The sequence below is a fragment of the Homo sapiens genome, chromosome 16, assembly GCF_000001405.40.
Source record: "Homo sapiens chromosome 16, GRCh38.p14 Primary Assembly".
Taxonomy (NCBI): Eukaryota; Metazoa; Chordata; class Mammalia; order Primates; family Hominidae; genus Homo; species Homo sapiens.
Genome location: NC_000016.10, coordinates 20,951,513 through 20,975,524, shown reverse-complemented (window position 1 = coordinate 20,975,524; position 24,012 = coordinate 20,951,513). Strand labels below are relative to the sequence as shown.

Below are 24,012 nucleotides of genomic sequence, written 5' to 3'. Positions count from 1 at the left end.
TAGTACATATTTTCTGCTTATGTCATAGGTTGGAGAATCATTTCAATTCTTGTCTACTTTGCCATTTTCAGTGCTGACCCTGGATTTCTCCCACCTCTCTCCTTGCTAGGTAGCGGTTATGCAAAGAGAACTGACAGCTCTTCAACCTCAACTCATCCTCACCTCCGAGGAAACTGCCAAGATGATGGTGAAAATTGAAGCGGAGACGAGAGAAGCTGATGGAAAGAAACTTCTGGTGCAGGCAGATGAAAAAGAAGCCAATGTTGCTGCTGCCATTGCCCAAGGAATCAAGGTAGAAAGACTGAGAAGAAAGGGAGGGAACTGGTGCTGCCGAATGAGCGTGGTTATACCCATCTTACGGATGAGAAAAGTGAGGCTCAGAAAGGGTAGGCAAGGCTGGGCATGGTGGCTCACAGCTGTAATCCCAGCACTTTGGGAGACCAAGGGAGGTGGATCACCTGAGGTTAGGAGTTCAAGACCAGCCTGACCAACATAAAGAAACCTCATCTCTACTTTAAAAAAAAAAAAAAAAAAAAAAACTAGCCAGGTGTGGTGGCGTGCATCTGTAATCCGAGCTACTCAGGAAGCTGAGGCAGGGGAATTGCTTGAACCTGGGAGGCAGAGGTCGCAGTGAGCTGAGATTGCACCACTGCACTCCAGCCTGGGCGGCAAGAGTGAAACTCTAAAAAAATAATAATAATAATAAGGGGTAGGCGACTCTCCCAGCATCACATAGCTGATAAGTGATGAAGGAAGTTGTTCTGAAACATCGCTGAAACCAGGAAGCATTAAGACCCAACATATGGGCAGGTGTGGTGGCTCACACCTGTGATCCCAGATTTTTGGGAGACAAAGGCAGGAGGATCGCCAGAGCCTCGGAGTTTAAGACCAGCCTGGGAAACGTAGCAAGATTCTGTCTCTACAAAAAAAAAAAAAAAAAAAAAACACTATAAAACAGCCAGGTGTAGTGGCACACCCATGTAGTCCCAGCTACTCAGGAGGCTGATGTGGGAGGATTGCTTGAGCCCAGGAGTTTGAGGCTGTAGTGAACTAGGATCGTGCCACTGCAATCCATAGCTCACTGCAGCCTTGAACACTTGGACTCAAGTGATCCTCCCACCTCAGCCTCCCGAGTAGCTGACCAAGACCTTGTGTTGTCTAAAAAACAAAACAAAACAAAACAAAGTGGCCAGGGGCAGTGGCTCATGCCTGTAATCCCAGTACTTTGGGAGGCTGAGTGGGTGGATTGCTTGAGTCCTGGAGTTCAAGACCAGCCAAGTTCAAGACCAGCCTGGGCAACATGGCAAACCCCATCTCTACAAAAAATGTAAAAAAAAATTAGCCAGCTGTGGTGGCATGCACCTATGGTCCCGGCTACTCAGGAGACTGAGGTGGGAGGGTCCTGAGCCCAGGAGGTCGAGGCTACAGTGGGTCCAGGTCGCACCACTGCACTCCAGCCTGGGTGACAGAGCAAGACCCAGTCTCAAAAACAAACAAACAAAAAGACCCAATATGTTTTGACCTCATGTTTTACCACTTTTCCTTCATTCCCTGTACTCTGGCCATGTTGGTCTCCTAGCTATTTGTTAAATAATCATAAGCCGCACTCCCACCCCAGAGCCTAAGAACTGGCTGTTCCCTCTACACAGAATGCCCTTCCTTTTGATATCCACATGGCTGTTTCCTTCGTCTCCATTGTATTTTTGCTAAATTATGCCTGGCGTGTTGTAGGCGTGGAATAAATATTTGTTGGATGACAGAATGTGGAACCTAGAGGAAACCCGCTTGAAGGTGATTCTTGTGCCAGAGAGGAAATAGTCCTGGTAAGGGCTTGACCTACGTTCACGTAGTAGAAGAAAATCTACTTCTTCAATTAGCACTGATGTGATGTTGTATATTTCACAAAGCACTTTGAAGTACATGGTTACATTTGAGCATTACAACTACTTTGAGACTTCAGAATGACAGATAGGGCCGGGAAAGGTGGCTCATGCCTGTAATCCCAGCACTTCAGGAGGCCAAGGTGGGCAGATCACTTGAGGTCAGGTGTTTGAGAACAGCCTTGCCAACATGACAAAACCTTATCTCTACTAAAAATACAAAAATTAGCTGGGTGTGGTGGCACATGCTTGTAATCCCAGCTACTCAGGAGGCTGAGGTGGGAGAATTTCTTGAACCCGAGAGGTAGAGGTTACAGTGCGTTGAGATCGCACCAATGCACTCCAGCCTCAGTGACAGAGCAAGACCTTATCTCAAAAAGAAAAAAAAAAGAATGACAGACATGGGCATATGAGAGTTGACAGCATTGAGGTTCAGTGGTAAATTGACTTTCCAGAGCTGCATGGTTAGTGGGATTAGAAGCCAAGGTTCATGGCACTTACCTTAACATACTTGAACCTATGCCCCCACTTAACAGAAAATTCTCTCAACCATTCTTCAAACAAGGGCTTGATTAAAAAGCAGCCTATGTGTCTTCTATCATAAATAGGTCATGGCAGCTGGGCGAGGTGGCTCACGCCTGTAATCCCAACACTTTAGGAGGCTGAGGCAGGTGCATCACTTTAGGTCAGGAGTTGGAGACCAGCCTGGCCAATATGGTGAAACCCTGTCTCTACTAAAAGAATAAAAATTAGCCGGGCGTGGTGGTGGGCACCTGTAATCCCAGCTATTCAGGAGGCCCAAGCACATGAATCACTTGAACCTGGGAGGTAGAGGTTGCAGTGAGCTGACATCATGCCACTGCACTCCAGCCTGAGTGACCAAAAAAAAAAAAAAAAAAAAAAAATCACGGGGCATTGTCTCAGAAGGGCAGGCCTTTTTGATTGGCTTTTCTCCACTGAGTCCTGAGACCTGGCCTGTGGGAGATCCCCTGGGTGGGTCTGATCCCTGTCAGAGTCACATAATGAATACCCTGAATTACAGATGCTTTTTCACTTGTAGTCCTGGTAGAATAGACACGAGGTGAATGGAAACCATCAGTGATAATGGGCCAGCCATGATGGGTCATGCCTTTAATCCCAGTGCTTTGGGAGGCTGAGGCAGGAGGATGGCTTGAGGCAAGGAGGAATTTCAGACCAGCCCAGGTAACAATAGTGAAAACTCTTCTCTGCAAAAAACTAAAAAGAAAAAAATTGGTCAGGTGCAGTGGAGCACACCTGCGGTCTTAGCTACTCAGCAGCCTGAGACAGGAGGATCACTTCATTCCAGGAGCTGCAGTGAGCTATGATCCCACCACTGCACTCTAGCCTGGACAACGGAGTAAGATCTTATCTCAAAAAAAAAAAAAGAGAGAAAAAAAAATCAGGAGATTTCAAGTAACAATTCTGAATTTTCAGCTTTTCTTTGGAAAACATCGGGCAACCTGGCAACATCGGAGCTGCCCTCCCGGGTTGCACTCATCTTCGGTATTAAATAGATGCTGCCCCTGTGTGTTCCAATTCACCAAAGTCCCAGCCCCACCCACTCGCACTCACTGGCCTGGCCCCTGAGGCGCATGAATTGGCAACTCTTTAATGTTTCTGTGCTAGAATCAGGTACATCAGGGCTCAATTTTTGCTCTGTCCTTTCCTAGCTTCAGTTTCTTCATCTACAAAATGGGGGTACTAAGAGGAAAACATGTAACATTTGTAGCCTGTGCCAGAGCGTAAGGGTCTATGTTAGTGATTCTTCAAAACTGCTGTACTTTGCTCTATACCAAGGGGACTTGCCTATGTGACCAAGGCTAGCCCCTTTCCACATGTGGGTCGCAGAGGGAAGGAAAACAGCACAGCCAAGATTCTGCTCTGTAATGTCAGGCCAAACAGCGACTTGTTGGAGCAGGAGGGAGGTGAGTGATCGCACAAGGTTTGTAAGGCGGTGACCCAGGACGCCCCACTACACCCACTCCCAGGCAATAACTGCCACATCAGGTTTCGGTGCAAAGGGTGAGGCTCAAGTCTCTGCCATCCCATCCCTCTTCCAGGGAGTGACATCCTGGGATGAGTCAGGAAGTGGAAGAAACTACCCAGGGAGGAGGAGAAACCGGTGTCTGATTGTGCAGCTTTCCTGAGGCTTTTTTGTGGACCGGAATCCCTTCCTGGACCTTTCAGGGCTGTGGCCCTCCTGCCCAGGAGAAGTTGCTAATTTTCTCTAATCTCCTCACACTCCCAGAAATGACACAAGATGGAATAGTGCCCAGTAGGGTACCGAATGCACAGTAGGAATGCAAATGAAATCCATATTAGGAGTTTCTGTTTGATCCTAATTTGCCTTTAAGAAACATAAATTTTAGTGTTTCTTTATATGGAGACAAAGTTAGTTCCCTGCTCTTTACCAAAAAAGAAAAAAAAAAAGTGATTTGTTAGAAACTCAGAAGTACGGCTGAGCACAGAGGCTCATGCTTGTAATCCCAGCACTTTGGGAGGCCGAGGCGGGCGGATCACTTGAGGTCAGGAGTTCGAGACCAGCCTGGCCAACATGGTGAAACCCCATCTATACTAAAAATACAAAAATTAGTCAGACCTGGTGGTAGGCACCTGTAGTCCCAGCTACTCGGGAGCCTGAAGTGCGAGAATCACTTGAACCCGGGAAGCAGAGGTTGCAGTGAGCCGAGATAGCACCGCTGCTACAGTCCAGCCTGGATGATAGAGCGAGACTCTGTCTCAAAAAAAAAAAAAAAAAAAGAATAGAGAAAAGAAAAGAAATCCATACTGGGAAGACAAAGACTGGAAGAGCAAGAATCAGGTCACCAACTCTTGATTCACAAGCGCAATGGTTTGCTTACATTGGTCAATTCTTTCCAATTATTTCTTTCCCCCCTAATGAGGATGATCAATGATACCAAAATTACTGTGATCTGATTACATTTCGTCACACTGCACTGAACTCCATACCTCTCAAACAATCCGATTGCTCTTTTCATGCTAAGACTCAGGGGCAATTTTAAATTATGTTTTTAGCATAGAAACAAATGTGGTAACAATGCCTATGTGAGATTTTTGTTTTGTTTTTGTTTTTAGACAGAGTTTCAATTTCACTCTTGTCGGCCAGGCTGGAGTGCAATGGCAAAATCTCAGCTCACTGCAACCTCCGCCTCCCCAGTTCAGGCAATTCTTCTACCTCAGCCTCCTGAGTAGCTGAGATTACAAGCGCCCACCACCACGCCTGGCTAATTTTTGTATTTTTAGTAGAGACAGGGTTTTGCCATGTTGGCCAGACTGGTCTGGAACTCCTGACCTCAAGTGATCCACCACGTTGGCCTCCCAAAGTGCTGGGATTACAGGCATGAGCTACTGTGCCTGGCCAAAAAAGCAAATAAGTTGAATGCTCAGATGTTCGGGACATCCAGACCACAGCCCCAAAAGGCCATGCATGTGTTCCGGCTGCTGGTTAACGGTCAGAGCCATTGTCCAGCTCCAGCGGCAGGCACCATGTTAAAGGGTATCTGGAAGAGGAAGCACCTCTTCCTTCTTCCTCATGTAGGAGTGGAGCTCTGCTTCGCCCCCATTGTGCCAGGCCCTGGGCACTCATCTCCTTTGTCCTCATGCCGCCCACAGAACGAATGTGAGGGGGACCTAGCTGAGGCAATGCCTGCACTCGAGGCTGCACTAGCTGCTCTGGACACCCTGAACCCGGCCGACATCTCGCTGGTGAAGTCGATGCAGAACCCACCAGGCCCTGTCAAACTGGTCATGGAGAGCATCTGCATCATGAAAGGGATGAAGCCAGAGAGGAAGCCAGACCCCAGTGGCTCCGGTAAGTGCCACCCCACCCAGATGCCTGCACAGGCTGCTCTTTCCTGGCAGTGGGGTGCCAGCACCCACTGCATCCCCAAGTCGACTGCAGGCGTGCAGGCAAGATCACTGAGTTTGGAGGAATTAAGAAAGGAACCAGGCTGTGTGTGTGCACCCAAGGCCTCTCTCAGGCTTCTCCAGCGGCCTCCGCCCTCTCAGTCAGTTGGGAAAAATGCAGGTATCTGTAGGTGGAGCTGAGCTCAGTCAAGGCTTCTCCCTGCAAGTCATTACAAAAATGAAGGTCAGGTAGACAAAAGGCTTGGTGTGGAACAAACACAGAGTCACGTGTGGGTGACCAGGAGAGCTACAGAGAGAGAGAGAGAGAGAAGCAGAGAAAGAGAGTTAGGGAAAGCAAAAGAATGAGACAGAGACAAAGAAAGGAACAGAGAGAAAGAGTCTGAAAAATAAATGGAGACCCAGACACCTATACACGCATGCATGCATGCACACACACACACACATGCACACACATGCATGCACACAGAGACATGCACATATAGACATACATGCACACACAGAGCCATGCACGAACACACTTGCAGACATGCATACATACAGGCATGCACATGCATATACACCCAAAGGGACAGGGGGACCAGGAGAGAAGGAAATCGGGAGAAAGAGACAGGGAAACACACACACACACACACACACACACACACACACAGAGAAAGAAAAAGCAGATGGGGAGAGACTTGCATGCACAAGTGAGATGCAGACATACAGGAGAGAGTAAGACATGAAGGGAGAGAAACAGGTAGAAATAGAGACTGAGAGACAAATATGCAGAGAGCGACAGAGAAATGGAGACAGAGAGATGCAGAGACACATGGAGTGCCAGAGACACAAAGAGAGACACAGAAACAGAGAGACAGAGTGGGAAGAAAAGAGACCAGAGAGAAGAGAGACAGAGACAGGGAGAAAAAAACACTCACACGAAGACAGAGAAGAGGAGTTGGGGGAGGGGTGGGGTGGAGCAGGAGTGGGGAATGGAAAATTAGAGGGAGAGAGACATGGGCAGGAGACAAGGGCAAAGAGAGGCAGAGACGGCAATGGAGAGGAAGAAAGAGAGAGAGAGGGACAGATGAACAAAGAAAGAGAAAGAGGAGGATACAGAGAATTAGAAACGGGCAGAAAGGAATGGGGAAGGAGGAAGGAAAGCTCCTTCTACAGTTGAGCCTAGAAACATTAACAGGTGAATATTCATTCTCCTTCAAATTTAAATTAGGTGTAGGACTTTGCATTAAGACCAGTGCCTTAGAGCTGAACAGTGACTTTAAAAATCACCTCCAAATCTATTTCCTGCCTTTTGAGTCTTCCAGTCCTGGGAACAGTCTGGCTATTCCTTCATTCTTTCTGAAATGTTAGATCTCTGCTCTAATCCCATCCAGGTGCAGTGGCTCACACCTGTAATCCCAGCACTTTGGGAGGCTGAGGTGGGTGGATCACTTGAGCCCAGGAGTTTGAGACCAGCCTGGACAACATGACAAAACCCCATCTCTACAAAAAATGCAAAATTTCGCCAGGCATGCTGGCGCATGTCTGTAGTCCCAGCTGCTCAGGAGGCTGAGAAGAGAGGAACGCTTGAGCCTGGGAGGTTGAGGCTGCAGTGAGCCGTGATCCTGCCACTGATCTTTAGCTTGTATGACAGAGTGAGACCCTGTCTCAAGAAAGAAATCCCTGATCCCTCATTTGAGACCTTCTGGCTCCTGCTTCCCATTGCTTAGCATTCCCTCTTCTCTGGCGGGTGTCAGGCCTAAACTCACATAAAGCAGAGGCAAAGCTCATCAGGAATAGTCAAGCAAAGAGCAGATGTTACAAGAGCATCCTTTAGGGAAATAGCTAATGTATAATAAGTTGGCCTTGAGCAAAGATGAGCTAGATAGTACTTCTGCACCCTGGCTGCACCCTAGAATCACCTGGAGAGGTTAAAGAATGCAGAAGTCGGCCAGGTGCGGTGGGTCACTCCTGTAATCCCAGCACTTTGGGAGGCCAAGATGGGAGGATCACCTGAGGTCAGGAGTTCAAGACCAGCCTGGCCAACATGGTGAAATCCTGTCTCTACTAAAAATACCAAAAAAAAAAATTAGCTGGGCATAGTGGTGTGTGCCTAATCCCAGCTACACGGAAGGCTGAGGAAGGAGAATTGCTTGAATCCGGGAGGCAGAAGTTGCAGTGAGCCGAGACCACGCCATTGCACTCCAGCCTGGGCAACAAGAACAAAACTCCGTCTCAAAAAAAAAAAAAAAAAAAAAAAAAAAGCAGAAGTCTGTGCCCCACTCCTAGAGAGTCTCATTCCATTGGTCTGGGATGCAGCCTGAGCATTAGGATTTTTTTTAAGCTCCCCTGCAGCTGGGGTTGAGACCTGCTGAGATACACAAAGCACAGCCAGGTCATGAATGTCACTTCTCATCTTGGATCACTGATGATCAGCACAGAACCCATCATTAAATTAAAATTAAAGCAAATTATGCCTGTTATTCACCCAAACCATGGAATTGAGTGAGTATATTGAGATGGAGCAAAAGAGCAATTGAGTTAGTTCGGGGTACCTTGAATCTAAATGAAGCAGATCATTTTCTAGAATGCCAACAAAAACCTTCATGGGAAATATTTGGCTGATTTCTCCTCTTGTAATTAGGAATGGGACACATTTGACCTGCTGTACTCAATGTGATGTCTCAGAGTATAACTTTTTTGATGAGCCTGAGCTTGGCAAGTACCATGGGCCAAAAAGCTTCCCAAATTTTTTCCAATGTGTCAACAGAAGGAGCATTGTTCCGGGATGGGATTGAGACTCACTTGATTACTTGTTAGTCAGCATGATGGCTGCTAAGGGGAATAACGGCCTGGCTTTGTGTCTGGGCAGGCCACGGGTAGTCTTCTGTATGGGTGGAAGCCTGCAAGCTGCTTCTTCCAGCCTCCTTCATTCTCACAAGACCTTTGCCTCACTCACACAGTTCATCAAAGGGAGGACTGATTGGGCTCCATCCAACCCACCTCCCAGACTAGGGAAGGATATTCGAAACTCATCCCCACGGGCTGTGGCTCCCGCTGCCTTTTCCATCCATGAATAAGATAATGGGGTACTATTCATTCAACCCATATTTATTGATAACTAAGTACCAGGCAGTGTGCCAGGTTCTAGAAAACAGAAGAAGTTTACCGCTTTGAGGGAAAGGTAGATGGTAGATAATAATTGAAAACTTACAGGTTGCAATAAGTGCTATAAAGGGAATGGACTTTCTAGCAAGCAAGGTGAAAGAAAATGCTGGTGCAGCGGGGAGGGGGGCCTCTCTTGTCAGATAAGTCTAGGGAAACCTCTATATGGCAATGGCTTTTAAAACGAGGCCTCCAGCCTGGGCAACATGGCGAAACCTCATCTCTATAAAAAATACAAAGATTGGCTGGGCACAGCTGGGCGTGGTGGCCCATACCTGTAATCCCAGCACTTTGGGAGGCTGAGGTGGGTGGATCACCTGAGGTCAGGAGTTCGAGACCAGCCTGTCCAACATGGTGAAACCCCGTCTCTACTAAAAGTACAAAAAATTAGCCGGGTGTGGTGGTGGGTGCCTGTAATCCCAGCTGCTCGGGAGGCTGAGGTAGGAGAATCGCTTGAACCCAGGAGGCAGAGGTTGCAGTGAGCCAAGGTCGCACCATTGCACTCCAGCCTGGGCAGCAAAAGTGAGACTCCATCTCAAAAAAAAAAAAAAAAAAAAAAAAAAAAAAAAAAAAAAAATTGGCTGGGCATGGTGGCTCAGGCCTGGAATCTTAGCAATTTGGGAGGCCGAGGTAGGCAGATCACATGAGGTCAGGAGTTTAAGACCAGCCTGGTCAACATGGTAAAACCCTGTCTCTACTAAAAATACAAAAATTAGCCAGGCATGGTGGCACATGCCTGTAGTCCCAGCTCCTTGGGAGGCTGAGGCAGGAGGATCACTTGAACCCAGGAGGCGAAGGTTGCAGTGAGCCAAGATCGTGCCACTGAACTCTAGCCTGGCTGACAGTGCAAGACTCTGTCTCAAAATAAATAAATGAATAAATAAAATGAGGCCTGAGGTCTGGTCAGGAGCCAGCTAGATGCCATTTACAGTATAGGCAAAGGGCTCATGGTAAGAAGCACTTGGGGTCATGGAGGAATTGAAGGAAGGTCCTTTATAACTCAAGTTTAGGGAGCAAGGCAGAGATGGGGTTGATGAGGTTGGCTGGGCCTCTCAGACCATGTTTTTGTTTTTGTTTTTTCTCAAATACCAGCAGTAACCACTGCAGAATTTTAAGTCTTGGCCAGAATGTCTTAACACATTATCTCTGTTTCTTGTTCCAAATAGGTAAGATGATAGAAGATTACTGGGGGGTATCCAAAAAGATTCTTGGGGATCTGAAATTCTTGGAGAGTCTTAAGACATATGACAAAGACAACATCCCCCCACTGACCATGAAGCGGATCCGGGAAAGGTTTATCAATCACCCGGAATTCCAGCCAGCTGTCATTAAAAATGTATCGTCGGCCTGCGAGGGTCTGTGCAAGTGGGTGAGGGCCATGGAGGTGTACGATCGCGTGGCCAAGGTGGTGGCTCCCAAACGGGAGCGACTGAGGGAGGCAGAGGGGAAGCTGGCTGCACAGATGCAGAAGCTGAACCAGAAAAGAGCAGAGCTGAAGCTGGTGGTAGATCGGCTCCAGGCCCTGAATGACGACTTTGAAGAGATGAACACCAAGAAAAAGGACTTGGAGGAAAACATTGAAATCTGCTCCCAAAAGCTGGTCAGGGCAGAGAAACTGATCAGTGGTCTTGGGGGAGAGAAGGACAGATGGACCGAAGCTGCCCGACAGCTGGGGATCCGCTATACTAATCTGACTGGTGACGTGTTGCTGTCCTCAGGAACTGTGGCTTACCTGGGCGCTTTTACAGTGGATTATCGGGTCCAGTGCCAAAATCAGTGGTTGGCTGAATGTAAGGACAAGGTCATCCCTGGCTTCAGTGACTTCAGTCTCAGCCACACGTTAGGGGATCCCATAAAAATCCGTGCCTGGCAGATTGCTGGGCTTCCCGTTGACTCCTTCTCCATCGACAATGGCATCATTGTATCCAATTCCAGACGCTGGGCCTTAATGATTGACCCTCACGGGCAGGCCAATAAATGGATTAAGAACATGGAGAAGGCGAATAAACTGGCTGTCATCAAGTTCTCTGATAGCAACTACATGAGGATGCTGGAAAACGCGCTGCAGTTAGGCACCCCTGTCTTGATTGAAAACATTGGAGAAGAGCTGGATGCTTCTATCGAACCTATCTTGCTCAAGGCAACATTCAAACAGCAAGGAGTTGAGTACATGAGGCTGGGTGAAAACATCATTGAATATTCCAGGGATTTTAAGTTATACATCACAACCCGTTTGAGGAATCCACATTACCTCCCAGAAGTTGCCGTGAAGGTCTGTCTCCTCAACTTCATGATCACCCCCTTGGGTCTCCAAGATCAACTCCTTGGCATCGTGGCTGCGAAGGAGAAGCCAGAGCTGGAAGAGAAAAAGAACCAGTTGATTGTGGAAAGTGCCAAGAACAAGAAGCATCTCAAGGAAATTGAAGATAAGATCTTGGAGGTTCTCTCCATGTCCAAGGGTAACATCCTGGAGGATGAAACCGCCATCAAAGTTCTGTCCTCCTCCAAAGTGCTATCTGAAGAGATCTCAGAGAAACAGAAAGTTGCTTCCATGACAGAAACGCAGATTGACGAGACTCGGATGGGCTACAAGCCAGTGGCTGTGCATTCTGCCACCATCTTCTTTTGTATCTCGGACCTGGCCAACATCGAGCCGATGTACCAGTACTCCCTGACTTGGTTCATAAATCTCTACATGCATTCCTTGACCCACAGCACGAAGAGCGAGGAACTGAATCTGCGCATCAAGTACATCATTGACCATTTCACCCTGAGCATCTACAACAACGTGTGCCGTTCTCTGTTTGAGAAGGACAAGCTACTCTTCTCTCTCCTCCTGACCATCGGCATCATGAAACAGAAGAAGGAAATTACGGAGGAGGTGTGGTACTTCCTTCTCACTGGAGGCATCGCACTGGATAACCCCTACCCCAATCCAGCTCCCCAATGGCTGTCTGAGAAGGCATGGGCAGAGATTGTCCGTGCATCTGCCTTACCCAAACTGCATGGCCTGATGGAGCATTTGGAACAGAACCTGGGTGAATGGAAGCTGATCTATGACTCGGCCTGGCCCCATGAGGAGCAACTCCCTGGGTCTTGGAAGTTCTCTCAAGGATTGGAGAAGATGGTGATCCTTCGATGTTTGCGGCCTGACAAAATGGTGCCAGCGGTCCGGGAGTTCATTGCTGAACATATGGGAAAGCTGTATATCGAAGCCCCTACGTTCGATCTCCAGGGATCCTACAATGATTCCAGCTGCTGTGCGCCTTTGATTTTTGTGTTGTCTCCAAGTGCAGACCCAATGGCAGGTAAGAACAGAGTGTTGTGGGAGAGACGTGGAAAGCCCAGTATGTGTGGGTGGATATCAGTAGCCCGTCCCTTACAGCAGGGATCTCAAGTTCAGATGGCTTTGAAGGCCAGGTGGTTCATAGGCTGAGGTGGAGCCACGGAACTCGTCCTTTTCTGCCTATAGAGGTCAGCTGCTACTCCGCATCCACAAATTGGGCCATTTGGGAATGTAAGCCCAGAATTGCTAGATCATCTGATTTTTCAAGAGAACCAGAAATGGAGAAATTTCCCACTTTTGTATCTTGATAATTCATTCAAAGTTCTTTCCTTAAAAACCTGGTGAGGGTTCCGGAGAGGTGGCTTATGCCTGTAATCCCAGCACTTTGGGAGAATGAGTTGGGAGGATTGCTTGAGCCCAGGAGTTTGAGACCAGCCTGGGCAACATAGTGAGACCTCCATTGCTATAAAACATTAAAAAATTATCTGGAAATGGTGGCACATGCCTGTAGTCCCAGCTACTTGGGAGGCTGAGGCAGGAGGATCCCTTCAGCCTTGAGAGGTCAAGGCTGCAGTGAGCTATGATCACACCACTGCACTCCAGTCTAGGTGACAGACCCTGCCCCCTCCCCCCAAAAAAGAACAAAATAGAAGCTTGGTGAGATTCAGCTCGGATGATTCCACAGGAAACTTCACACTGTGTCCCTTCTAGTGCCGCATGTCATGAGATCCATACTGTCTGGCTGTCTTTTCTGATAAAGACAGATCTGGGGACTCAGGCATTGTCAGCATGAGCTGGCTCTCCATTCCCCCACTCCCTCCCTTATACAGTTTCCCACCAGCTTTTCACCTGATGTGACAGTTCTCAATCTTGGCTGCACATTGGAATCACCTGGGGAGTTTAAAGAAGCCTCACAATGCACGGGCCACAGCTTTGGCCAATTAAATTAAAATCTTTGGGGTGAGACCCACGAATTGTGTTTTATGAAGCCTTTCCAGTAATTCCAGTGTGCAGCCAGGGATGGGAACCACTGACTTTAATAGTTTTAGTGGCCTTTGAAAATCATCACCAAGATCCACTATTTCAGTAGCAGGTGCACAATGATTATTTTTTTTAATTATTATTTTATTTTATTTATTTATTTTGAGATGGAGTCTTGCTCTATCGCCCAGGCTGGACTGCAGTGGCGTGATATTGGCTCACTGCAACCTCCACCTCTCGGGTTCAAGCAATTCTCATGCCTCAGCCTCCTGAGTAGCTGGGATTACAGGCACGTGCTGCCACGTCTGGCTAATTTTTGTATTTTTAGTAGAGATGGAGTTTCACCATGTTGGCCAGGCTGGTCTTGAACTCCTGACCTCAAGTGATCCACCCACCTCGGCCTCCCAAAGTGCTGGGATTACTGGTGTGAGCTACTCGGGAGGCTGAGGCAGGAGAATTGCTTGAACTTGGGAGGCGGAGGTTGTGGTGAGCCAAGATCATGCCATTGCACTCCAGCCTGGGCAACAAGAGCAAAACTCCATCTCAAAAAAAAAAAAAAAAAAAAAACCAGAAATTTATTTTCTCACAATTCTTAAAGAAAGTTTGAAATCAAGCTGTTGGCGGGGATGGTTTCTTTCGAGGCCTCTCTGATTGGCTTGCTGATGGTCATCTTCTCCCTATGTCTGCACAGGGCCTTCTCTCTGTGTCTGTCCTCATCTCCTCTTCTCATAAGGATATCAGTCATATTGGATTAAGGCCCACTCTAATGAACGCATTTTATTTTATTTTATTTTATTTTATTTTATTTTTTTATTCATTTATTTTTTATTATTATACTTTACGTTCTAGGGTACATGTGCACAACGTGCAAGTTTGTTACATATGTATATATGTGCCATGTTGGTGTGCTGCAACCATTAACTCATCATTTACATTAGGTGTATCTCCTAATGCTATCCTTTCTCCCTCCCCGCACCCCACGACAGGCCCTGGTGTGTGATGTTCCCCTTCCTGTGTCCAAGTGTTCTCATTGAATGAACTCATTTTAACTTTGCCTCCGCAAAGACCCTATCTCCAACTACTGAACAGTTACATTCTGAGGTACCTGGAATTAGGACTTCAACATATGAATTTTGCTAGGGACACGATGCAGTTCGTAACAGAGACCATATGTAATCCTTAGAATATTAACCCTGATCTTTTTATGTGCTGCCTGCCCCTCATAGTGATGTACTTCCTCGTGTAGGTTTTTTTTTAGTGTGAGTTCACCATCAGCAAATTTGTGTTGTTTAGCAGGAGTCTCATATACTTTGGGTTTAAGGAGTGTCCTTACAGAACAACTTTGCATGTGCAAACAGTGGTACCCCAGAGGGTGAGGTGGGGGTCGCCATTCTGGATCAAATTTTATGGGAAATTTCTCAGCTTAGGAATCCCACACCAGAGAGTACCGTGAACTCACACTCCTCAAATTCATGTGGCATAAACTTAGTGTTTTGATTTTTAAACTGGAGAGTTATTTTTTCCATCCAGGCTCCAGACCAGTTATGAGCTTCCATGTCTTTTCCTTGGGTCAGTAGTCAAATGGCCTTGGCCGCCTTTTGTTTGTTTGTTTGTTTGTTTGAGATGGAGTCTTGCTGTGTAACCCAGGCCAGAGTGCAGTGGCGTGATCTCGGCTCACTGCAACCTCCGCCTCTTCCCAGGTTCAAACAATTTTCCTGCCTCAGCCTCCCGAGTAGCTCGGACTACAGGCATGTGCCACCCAGCTAATTAGTTAATTAGCCCAGCTAATTTTTGTATTTTTAGTAGAGATGGGGTTTCACCATGTTGGCCATGCTGGTCTCGAATTCCTGACCTCAAGTGATCCGCTCGTCTCGGCCTCCCAAAGTGCTGGGATTGCAGGCGTGAGCCACCACATCTGGCCAAAGGTCTGGCCTTCATAACATGAAGGTACGGCACTTTGAGAATTCTAACTTTATGCAAGTGTCTCGGTTCCAGCTCCCCACCTCTTATGAGTGCAAAGCTATATCTCCCATGGACATTAAAACTTTAACATCTAGAGTAATGAAATAAAGTGTAGTATTTTCCAATGGTGATATACTATGTATCCATGAAAGAAAAAAGCCTTTATACATGTACTAGTGTGGAAGAGACCTATAAGATATGTACATTGTTAAGTGGGAAAAAAATGCAGTATTCTACAATTCATATAAATTTAATAGTATATATGCATTTATTTAAATACACAAAATATTTCTTGAAGGATTCACAAATCTAATCACATTGGCTACCACTGAGAAGAGAGAAGTGAGAGACTTATTTCACTTTACAAATGCTTATATTTCTTGTTAAAATAAATTGGCAAAAATCAGTTTCCTAGTTATTTGATGTGCTCACCTCTTTATTTTTGAGTTCCCCGTTTTGGGCACCTGGGAATATCCTTTTCTTTCAAACCTTGATTTTTTTTGTTTCTTTTCAGTTCAGATAATTTCTTTTTTTATCAAGAATGTCTATGTGTTTAAAGCAAAAGAGAAGTTGATGGTAGCTTCATCTGCCATCTGATCTGATGTCTAAAGTTTCCCCAGAGAGATGTTTATTTTGTAATTAACAGAAGCCAATGAGTTTTTTTCTGAGTCCAAAATTTAATGTGAACCCCACCTTTTGTGTTGGGGTGTGTGTGTGTGTGTGTGTGTGTGTGTGTGTGTGTGTGTGTGTGTTTAAATAGAGACAAGGTCTCACTGTGTTGCCCAGGCTGGTCTCCAACTCCTGAGCTCAAGTGATCCTCCCACCTCGGCCTCCCAAAGTGTTGGGATTACAGGTGTGAGCCACCACACCCAGCCATGTTGTTATTGTTGATATAGCTGTTCTGTTACTGTTAGCTGGCCTGTCGTCTTTCAAAAGCCTCCTTTCTTCCTGGTCTCAGGCCTGCTGAAGTTTGCTGATGATCTTGGTATGGGAGGTACCAGAACACAGACCATCTCCCTTGGCCAAGGCCAAGGCCCTATTGCTGCCAAAATGATCAACAATGCCATCAAAGACGGGACCTGGGTGGTCTTACAGAACTGCCACCTGGCCGCAAGCTGGATGCCTACCCTGGAGAAGATTTGTGAGGAGGTGATTGTTCCTGAGAGCACCAATGCCAGATTCAGGTGAGATGCTGTCCCACCACTGCCTTCTCTGGGACCCAACCTCCAGACATCAGGATGGTGGCTGGGAAGATGACCAAGACACAGTCCTGCCCCTTAGAAACTTTCAGTCTAGGCCAGGCAGGGTGGCTCATGTCTGTAATCCCAGCACTTTGGAAAGCTGAGGTGGGTGGATCACCTGAGGTCAGGAGTTCGAAACTAGCCTGGCCAACATTGCAAAACACTGTCTCTACTAAAAATACAAAAATTAGCCAGGCATAGTGGCGCACACCTGTAATCCCAGCTACTCAGGAGGCTGAGGTGGGAGAATTGCTTGAACCCAGGAGGCAGAGGTTGTAGCGAGCAGGGATCGTATCACTGCACTCCAGCCTGGGCGACAGAGTGAGACTTCCTCTCTAAAAAAGAAAGAAGCTCTTCAGTATAGCAGAAGGCAGGCCATAGATGAATAATGTTGATACCATGTCATACCTGATTTACTCACTATTTGAACAAGAACCATGGAATACAGAGAAGGGATGGGAAGGTTGGGGAAGTCTTGGAGGCCTGACAATGGCCCAGGATTTTGAAAAATGAATAGGAGTTTGCCAGGAAGGATGTTCTAGGCAGAAGAGACAGCATTTGGAAAAGCAAAGAGAGGTATTGGAAAAGCAAAGAGAGGTATTAAGGAAATCCTGAGAAGTTATCTTACAGCTCTGGTATATGCCATGAAAAGTTGTTGGAGAAGGTAATAGGAGACGTAGCTGGAAAGGTAGATTCAATGTGAGCAAGTCTGATTTTTAAAAATTATTATTTGTCTAAAAAAAATTCTGTCCAGGCATGGTGGCTCACGCCTGTAATCTCAGCATTTTGAAAGGCTGAGACAGGTGGATTGCTTGAACCCAGGAGTTCAAGGCCAGTTTGGGCAACATGGCAAAACCCCATCTCTACTAAAAATACAAAAAATGAGCTGGGCATGGTGGCGCACATTTGTAGTCCCAGCAACTTGGGAGGCTGAACTGGGAGAATCACCTGAGCCTGAGAAGTCGAGCCTGCAGTGAGCAGTGATCACACCACTGCACTCCAGCCTGGGCGACAGAGTGAGACCCTGTCTCAAAAAAAAAAAAAAAAAATTCTACTGTTTTCCAGGTATCATTTGTCCTGCCTCCCGCCTCCTGCCTCTATCCTACATTTCTGGGGTTCTTCGGAATTTTAATCAACATTGGAAACAGCTATTTGTTTTTTGGGAATTTTAAAGCCCAACAAAGCTAAACCTCAGTTTTTGCATTCATAAAATAATGAGTTGAACCAAACAGACTTTAAAGTCCATTTTAACTCAAATGTTCAGGGATTCTCTTTTTTTTTTTTTTTTTTTTTTTTTTTTTTTTTTTTTTTTTGGAGATGGAGTTTCGCTCTTATTGCCCAGGCTGGAGTGCAATGACGCGATCTCCACTCACTGTGACCTCTGCCTCCCGGGTTCAAGCGATTCTCCTGCCTCGGCCTCCTGAGGCTACTACAGGCATGCACCACCATGCATGGCTAATTTTGAATTTTTAGTAGAGATGGGGTTTCTCCATGTTGGTCAGGCTGGTCTTGAACTCCCAACCTTAGGTGATCCGCCCACCTCAGCCTCCCAAAGTGCTGGGATTACAGGCGTGAGCCACCACACCCAGCCAAGGGATTCTCTTATACCAGGGCAGAGAGCAGCAACCTATGGCCCGATAGCCAAATGCACCCTGCTGCCAGTTTTTTTTGTATAGCTTGCAAGCTAACTAAACAGTGTGGGGAAGAAACTAAAGAATCATGTTTCATAATACATGAAACTTCTATGAAATTCAAATTTTAGTGTCCATAAATAAAGTTTTATTGAAAAACATCATGCTTATTCATATATTGTCTATGGCTACTTTTGTATGACAAGTAGTTGCAGCAGAGATCATGTGGGCTCACAAAGTCTAAAATATGTACTATTTGGTCCTTTACAGAAAAAAATTTGTCAACCCCTGCTCTATCCAACAAAACTAGCTGGTTATTTTCATCTCAGTCGTCTGCCAGAAAAGAGGGAAAGTGTTTGGTGCTTATTTACAAAGTCGGATTAGGCCACAGTTGATTTGTCTTCATATAAAACTTCCAAAAGAGAGAGAGTTTAAGAGAAGTCCATTAGTTTCAAGAATGCTGTTTGGGGCCGAGTGAGGTGGCTCACACCTGTAATCCCAGCACTTTGGGAGGTCAAGGCAGGCGGATCACATGAGGCCAGGAGTTCAAGACCAGCCTGGCAACATGGTGAAACCCTGTCTCTACTAAAAATACAAAAATTAGCCAGGTGCGGTGGTGCATGTCTGTAATCCCAGCTACTTGGGAGGCTGAGCCACAAGAATTCCTTGAACCCAGGAGGTGGAAGTTGCAGTGAACTGAGATTGCACCACTGCACTCCAGCCTGGGTGACAGAGTGAGACTCTGTCCCAAACATAAATAAATTAAAAAACAAACAACAAAAAAACCTAAAAGCGTTGTGCCTTAATCTTTAAAAAAAAGAAAAGAATGTTGTTTGGTTTGGGATAGTGAGTGAATTCATTGGCCATTAATGACACACTCAAAGAAGAAAAAGTTATTTATGTTGACATTTTAAGTTCTACTGTAATATGATCCTGACCCAAAAATCATGAACTCAAGTTCTCAAGTGCCTATAGGGGCCAGGCATGTAACATAAATGAGTGAAGAGGGCTGGATACAAGAAATAGTCCACGTTCCACAGTACAGCAACAATCCTCATGGGTAGTCAGCCTCAGTGTCAGACACAATAGGGAATGGTGGGGCTTGCAGTGAACTGGGCACATGCTCTGGCAAGGAGAGCGGTCACTGTTTAATACTAGCTAACTGTTGCCATGTAGGATCAGACTTTCTAACAATTTTAAAGGGAAGATGGGAATCTAGAACTGTAAAAGAAAGCCTTAGGTTTTTAAACGTTAGCAACTCTGGCCGGGCGCAGTGGCTCACACCTGTAAATCCTAGCACTTTGGGGGGCCGAGGTGGGTGGATCACCTGAGGTCAGGAGTTCAAAGCCAGCCTGGCTATCATGGTGAAACCCTGTCTCTACTAAAAATACAAAAATTAGCCGGGCATAGTGGCGGGCACCTGTAGTCCCAGCTACTCGGGAGGCTGAGGCAGGAGAATCACTTGAACCTGGGAGGTGGAGGTTGCAGTGAGCCGAGATGCACCCCTGTACTGCAGCCTGGGTGACAGAGTGAGACCTTGTCTCAAAAAAATGAAAATAAAAATAAAATAAGATAAAAATAATAAAAATGAAAAAAAAGAGCCTCAGATGCAATGTGCCAAGATGTTAACCTATAGGTGGTAAAATTATCAATTCTAGTTTCTTCTAAACACTTTTACATATGTTTCCATTTTTTGTGGGCATAGATACACTTGCATTTAAAAAAGAATTTCTCCCTATTTTTCAAGGCACATTTCAAATGCCATTTCTTATATGACAGGCATCAGCAAACTTTTTCTGTAAAGGGCCAATAGTAAATATTTCAGGGTTTGTGGCCATATTGTCTCTGTTGCAACTATTCAACTCTGGTTGTAGGGAGAAAGCAGCCTTAGGGCCAGGCACGGGGACTCACACCTGTAATCCCAGCACTGTGGGATGGTGAGGTGGGAGGATCACTTGAGCCCTGGAGTTCGAGACCAGCCTGGGCAACATAGAGGGACTCCATCTCTACATTAAAAAAAAAAAAAGAGTAGGAGCTTTGGAGTCAGAGAGTCCTGAGTTCACATCTTGGTTCAACTACTGCCAAGTGGTGTGTCCTTGAAAAACCCACCTGACCTTGCCATGCCTCCGCTTCCTCACTGGTAAAAGAGGTAGTAAGTCCCTCCTCATCAGGTGGCTGTGAGGCTTAAGGGAAATAAAAGGACATATGTTAAATGCTTAGCATAGTTTTGGCTCTGGTAGTATTTAATCATAGCTATTCTTTTTTGTTATTTTTTTTTAATTTATCAATAAAATAATGTTTTTCATAGAGATGGGGTTTTACCATGTTACCCAGGCTGGTCTGTTTTGTTATTGTTATTGTTTTGTTTTTGTTGTTGCTTTTCACTATAACTTATTGTATTGCTCTAAAACGTTGGGTCCATTGTTCTTCCAGACTCTGGCTAACCAGCTATCCATCAGAGAAGTTTCCAGTCAGCATTCTCCAGAATGGAATCAAAATGACCAATGAGCCCCCCAAAGGGCTCCGGGCCAACCTGTTGCGCTCCTACCTCAATGACCCCATCTCAGATCCTGTGTTCTTCCAAAGCTGTGCAAAGGCGGTGATGTGGCAAAAGATGTTATTTGGCCTTTGTTTCTTCCACGCCGTTGTTCAAGAGAGAAGAAACTTCGGCCCCCTAGGTAAGCGATGACAGTGCACCTGAGTGGCCTGAGGGAAAGGATATCAGACACATATAGGTGTGTTTCCAGGTGCGTGTTTAAGCTTGCGCTCAGATAGGGTTGCCAGTAAGATACGGTATAAATATTTTCCAGGCAATATTTGGAACATACTTATACTAAATGATTTATTATTTAACTAATATTAAACTCTCACTGTATTTTTATTTGCTAAATCTGACAACCTGGCTGGGCGTGGTGACTTGTGCCTTTAATCCCAGCACTTAGGGAGGCCAAGGGAGGCAGAATCCTTGAGGCCAGGAGTTCGAGACCAGCCTGGGTAACATGGTAAAACCCCATCTCTACTAAAAACACAAAAATTAGCCGGGTGTGGTGGTGCCCGCCTATAATCCCAGCTATTTGGGAAGCTGAGGCATGAGAATGGCTTCAACCGGGAGGTGGAGTTTGTAGTGAGCCCATATCACACCACCACACTCCAGCCTGGGTGACAGAGTGAGACCCTGTCTCAAAAAAAAAAAAAAAAAGTCTATAGGTAGATTAATACATAAGCAAAATGTTATATATTCATACAACGAATTTTTTTTTTTTTTTTTGAGATAGGGTCTCACTCTGTCACCCACGCTGGAGTGTGGTGTTGTGATCTTGGCTCATTGCAACCTCCACCTCTCAGGTTCAAGCGATCCTCCCACTTCAGCCTCCCCAGTAGCTGGAACTACAAGCATGCCACCACACCCGGTTAATTTTTGTATTTTTAGTAGAGATGGGGTTTCACCGTGTTGGCCAGGCTGGTCTAGAACTCCTGAATATTAATCAACCTTAAAGAGGAAGAAAATTCTGACATACACTACAACGTGGATGAACCTGAGGACATTAGAGGACATTACGCTAAGTGAAATAAACCAGTCATGCCAGGCACAATGGTGCAAGCCTGTAATCCCAGTACTTTGGGAGGCTGAGGTGGGAGGATCGCTTGAGGCGAGAAGGTGGAGGCTGCAGTGAGCCAAGATTGTGCCACTGCACTCCAAACTGGATGACAAAGTAAGACATTGTCTCAAAAAAAAAATTAAAATAAATAAAATAGCCTGACATAGTAGCACAAGCCTGTAGTCCCAGCTACTTGGGAGGCTGAGGTGGGAGGATCACTTGAGCCTGGGAGTTCGAGGCTGCAGTGAAGGGAGATCATACCACTCTAGACTGGGCAAAAGAACGAGATCCAGTCTCTCAAAAAAAAAAAGCCATGCAAATGTTTGGCTTGCAACTAACTGCCAGTCATGCTTCGTTTGCTGGCACACGAATTTTATTATTTTGTTATAATTTGAAAGCGAGTGTTTGGGAGGAAATTAAACTTCTCTATTGAACCTGGGCGCGATGGTTCACACCTGTAATCCCAGCACTTTGGGAGGCCGAGGCAGGCGGATCACTTGCGATCAGGAGTTCAAGACCAGCCTGGCCAACATGGCGAATCCCCGTCTCTACTAAAACTACGTAAACTAGCTGGGCGTGGTGGCACGTGCCTGTAATCCCAGCCACTCAGGAGGCTGAGACAGGAGAATCTCTTGAACCCAGGAGGTGGAGGTTGCAGTCAGCCGAGATCACGACACTGCATTCCAGCTTGTGGGACAGAGCGAGACTCTGTCTCCAAAAAAAAAAAACAACAAACAAAAAAACAAAACAAACAAAAGCAAAACAAACAAAAAACTTCCCTATTGAGCACAGGTTTCCCCATACTCTTTCTTGTATCCTGCACCATGCCTGGTTTACACATGTATGTCACTTGTTCAGCCCCCAATGGGCATTTATCATTACACCCTTGGAAATACGAGTGGTCATTTCTTTAAGGCTGGCCATTCAGTTTTTCCCGTGAGCTCGAGGAGGGGAATTCTCAGAACCAACGTGGCTCTGTTGCCCAGTCGTAGCTCCTGCTGTCTAGCCATGCCGCGGTGTTATTTTTGGAGCTCCGTGCATTACCGCCATATTCCTGCCAGGCTGAATAATTCTCATTCCACAAATCCCAGGACATTAACATCTTCCTTAACAAATGGGGAGGTATATAAGGAAATTGATTTTAGAATGGATGTTTTCTCAGGCAGAATGGCTCCCATGTTGGTGGTAAACGTCCAGGCTAATAGTTGGCCTCGGTGCTTGATATTCATGAGCCTGAAAGAGGCTTTTGATCCATAATGATGCTTAACTCCCTCGGCTTGGTCTTTGAGTGGAAATTAAGAGCTCTCAGCACTGAAGCCTCTCTCTGCTCTCCCACACGCAGGGTGGAATATTCCCTATGAATTCAACGAATCTGACCTGAGGATTAGTATGTGGCAGATCCAGATGTTTCTCAATGACTACAAGGAGGTGCCCTTTGATGCTCTGACCTACCTGACAGGTATTTACGGGAGGAGTTTTTCCACTGTAAACCTCCAGTATCATGTTCCACCCTCCTGCTGTTCTCCTCCCATTTCCATTCACTTATGTACTCCCTCCCTCCCTCACCATAAACATCGAGCTCTTACTAATGCTGGTCATCATGCTAGATATTGTAAGGAAACAAACAAACAAAAAAAATTAAGATAGAATCTTTACCCTTGAGTGACTCACAGTCTCCAAAAGAAGAAAAATATTTTAAAAAATGATACAGGCCAGCGGGGCACAGTGGCTCATGCCTGTAATCTCAGCACTTTGGAAGGCCACGGCAGGTGGATCACCTGAGGTCAAGAGTTTGAGACCAGCCCGACCAACATATTGAAACCCCATCTCTACTAAAAATTAAAAAATTGGCCAGGCGTGGTGGCTCACGCCTGTAAGCCCAGCACTTTGGGAGGCTGAGGCAGGCGGATCACGAGGTCAGGAGATCGAGACCATCCTGGGTAACACGGTGAAAACCTGTCTCTACTAAAAATATAAAAAATTAGCCGGGCATGGTGGCCAGTGCCTGTAGTCCCAGCTACTCCTTGGGAGGCTGAGACAGGAGAATTGCATGAAGTGGGGAGGCAGAGGTTGCAGTGAACTGAAATTGCGCCACTGCATTCTAGCCTGGGTGACAGAGACTCTATCTCAAAAAAAAAAAAAAAAAAAAAAAATACGGGCCAGGCGCAGTGGATCATGCCTGTAATCCCAGCACTTTGGGAGACCGAGGCGATGGATCACTTGAGGCCAGAAGTTTAAGACCGGCTGGGGCAAAATCCCATCTCTACAAAAAATACAAAAATTAGCCAGGCGTGGTGACACATGCCTGTAGTCCTAGCTACTCAGGGGACTAAGGTGGGAGGATTGCTTGAGCCCCGGATGTGGAGGTGCGGTGAGCTC

At 46.2% G+C, this 24,012-nt stretch overlaps 1 protein-coding gene across 15 annotated transcripts in view, besides 2 other annotated features; it reads left to right on the top strand.

The window, feature by feature from the left end:
• The window catches only part of DNAH3 (dynein axonemal heavy chain 3), a 226,349-nt gene that overhangs the window by 183,935 nt on the left and 18,402 nt on the right, over positions 1-24,012 (top strand). For all 15 annotated transcript variants that reach the window (XM_017023432.2, NM_017539.2, XM_047434349.1 and 12 more), the window contains 6 exons: positions 110-292; positions 5,535-5,733; positions 10,100-12,241; positions 16,121-16,346; positions 20,468-20,712; positions 22,976-23,092. In XM_017023432.2, the coding sequence (XP_016878921.1) occupies positions 110-292; positions 5,535-5,733; positions 10,100-12,241; positions 16,121-16,346; positions 20,468-20,712; positions 22,976-23,092 (3,112 nt within the window). The remainder of the gene's footprint in view (positions 1-109; positions 293-5,534; positions 5,734-10,099; positions 12,242-16,120; positions 16,347-20,467; positions 20,713-22,975; positions 23,093-24,012) is intronic.
• Positions 1,303-1,803: an enhancer, noted in NCBI's record as "H3K27ac hESC enhancer chr16:20985044-20985544 (GRCh37/hg19 assembly coordinates)". NCBI's record gives its function as "activates a minimal SCP1, AML or CMV promoter by ChIP-STARR-seq in naive H9 embryonic stem cells {active_cell/tissue: H9 hESC(naive)}" and the evidence as "EXISTENCE:reporter gene assay evidence [ECO:0000049][PMID:30033119]".
• Positions 3,304-4,503: an enhancer, noted in NCBI's record as "CDK7 strongly-dependent group 2 enhancer chr16:20982344-20983543 (GRCh37/hg19 assembly coordinates)". NCBI's record gives its function as "activates an origin of replication core promoter dependent on BRD2, BRD4, P300/CBP, MED14 and CDK7 cofactors, with strong dependence on CDK7, by STARR-seq in HCT116 cells {active_cell/tissue: HCT116}" and the evidence as "EXISTENCE:reporter gene assay evidence [ECO:0000049][PMID:35650434]".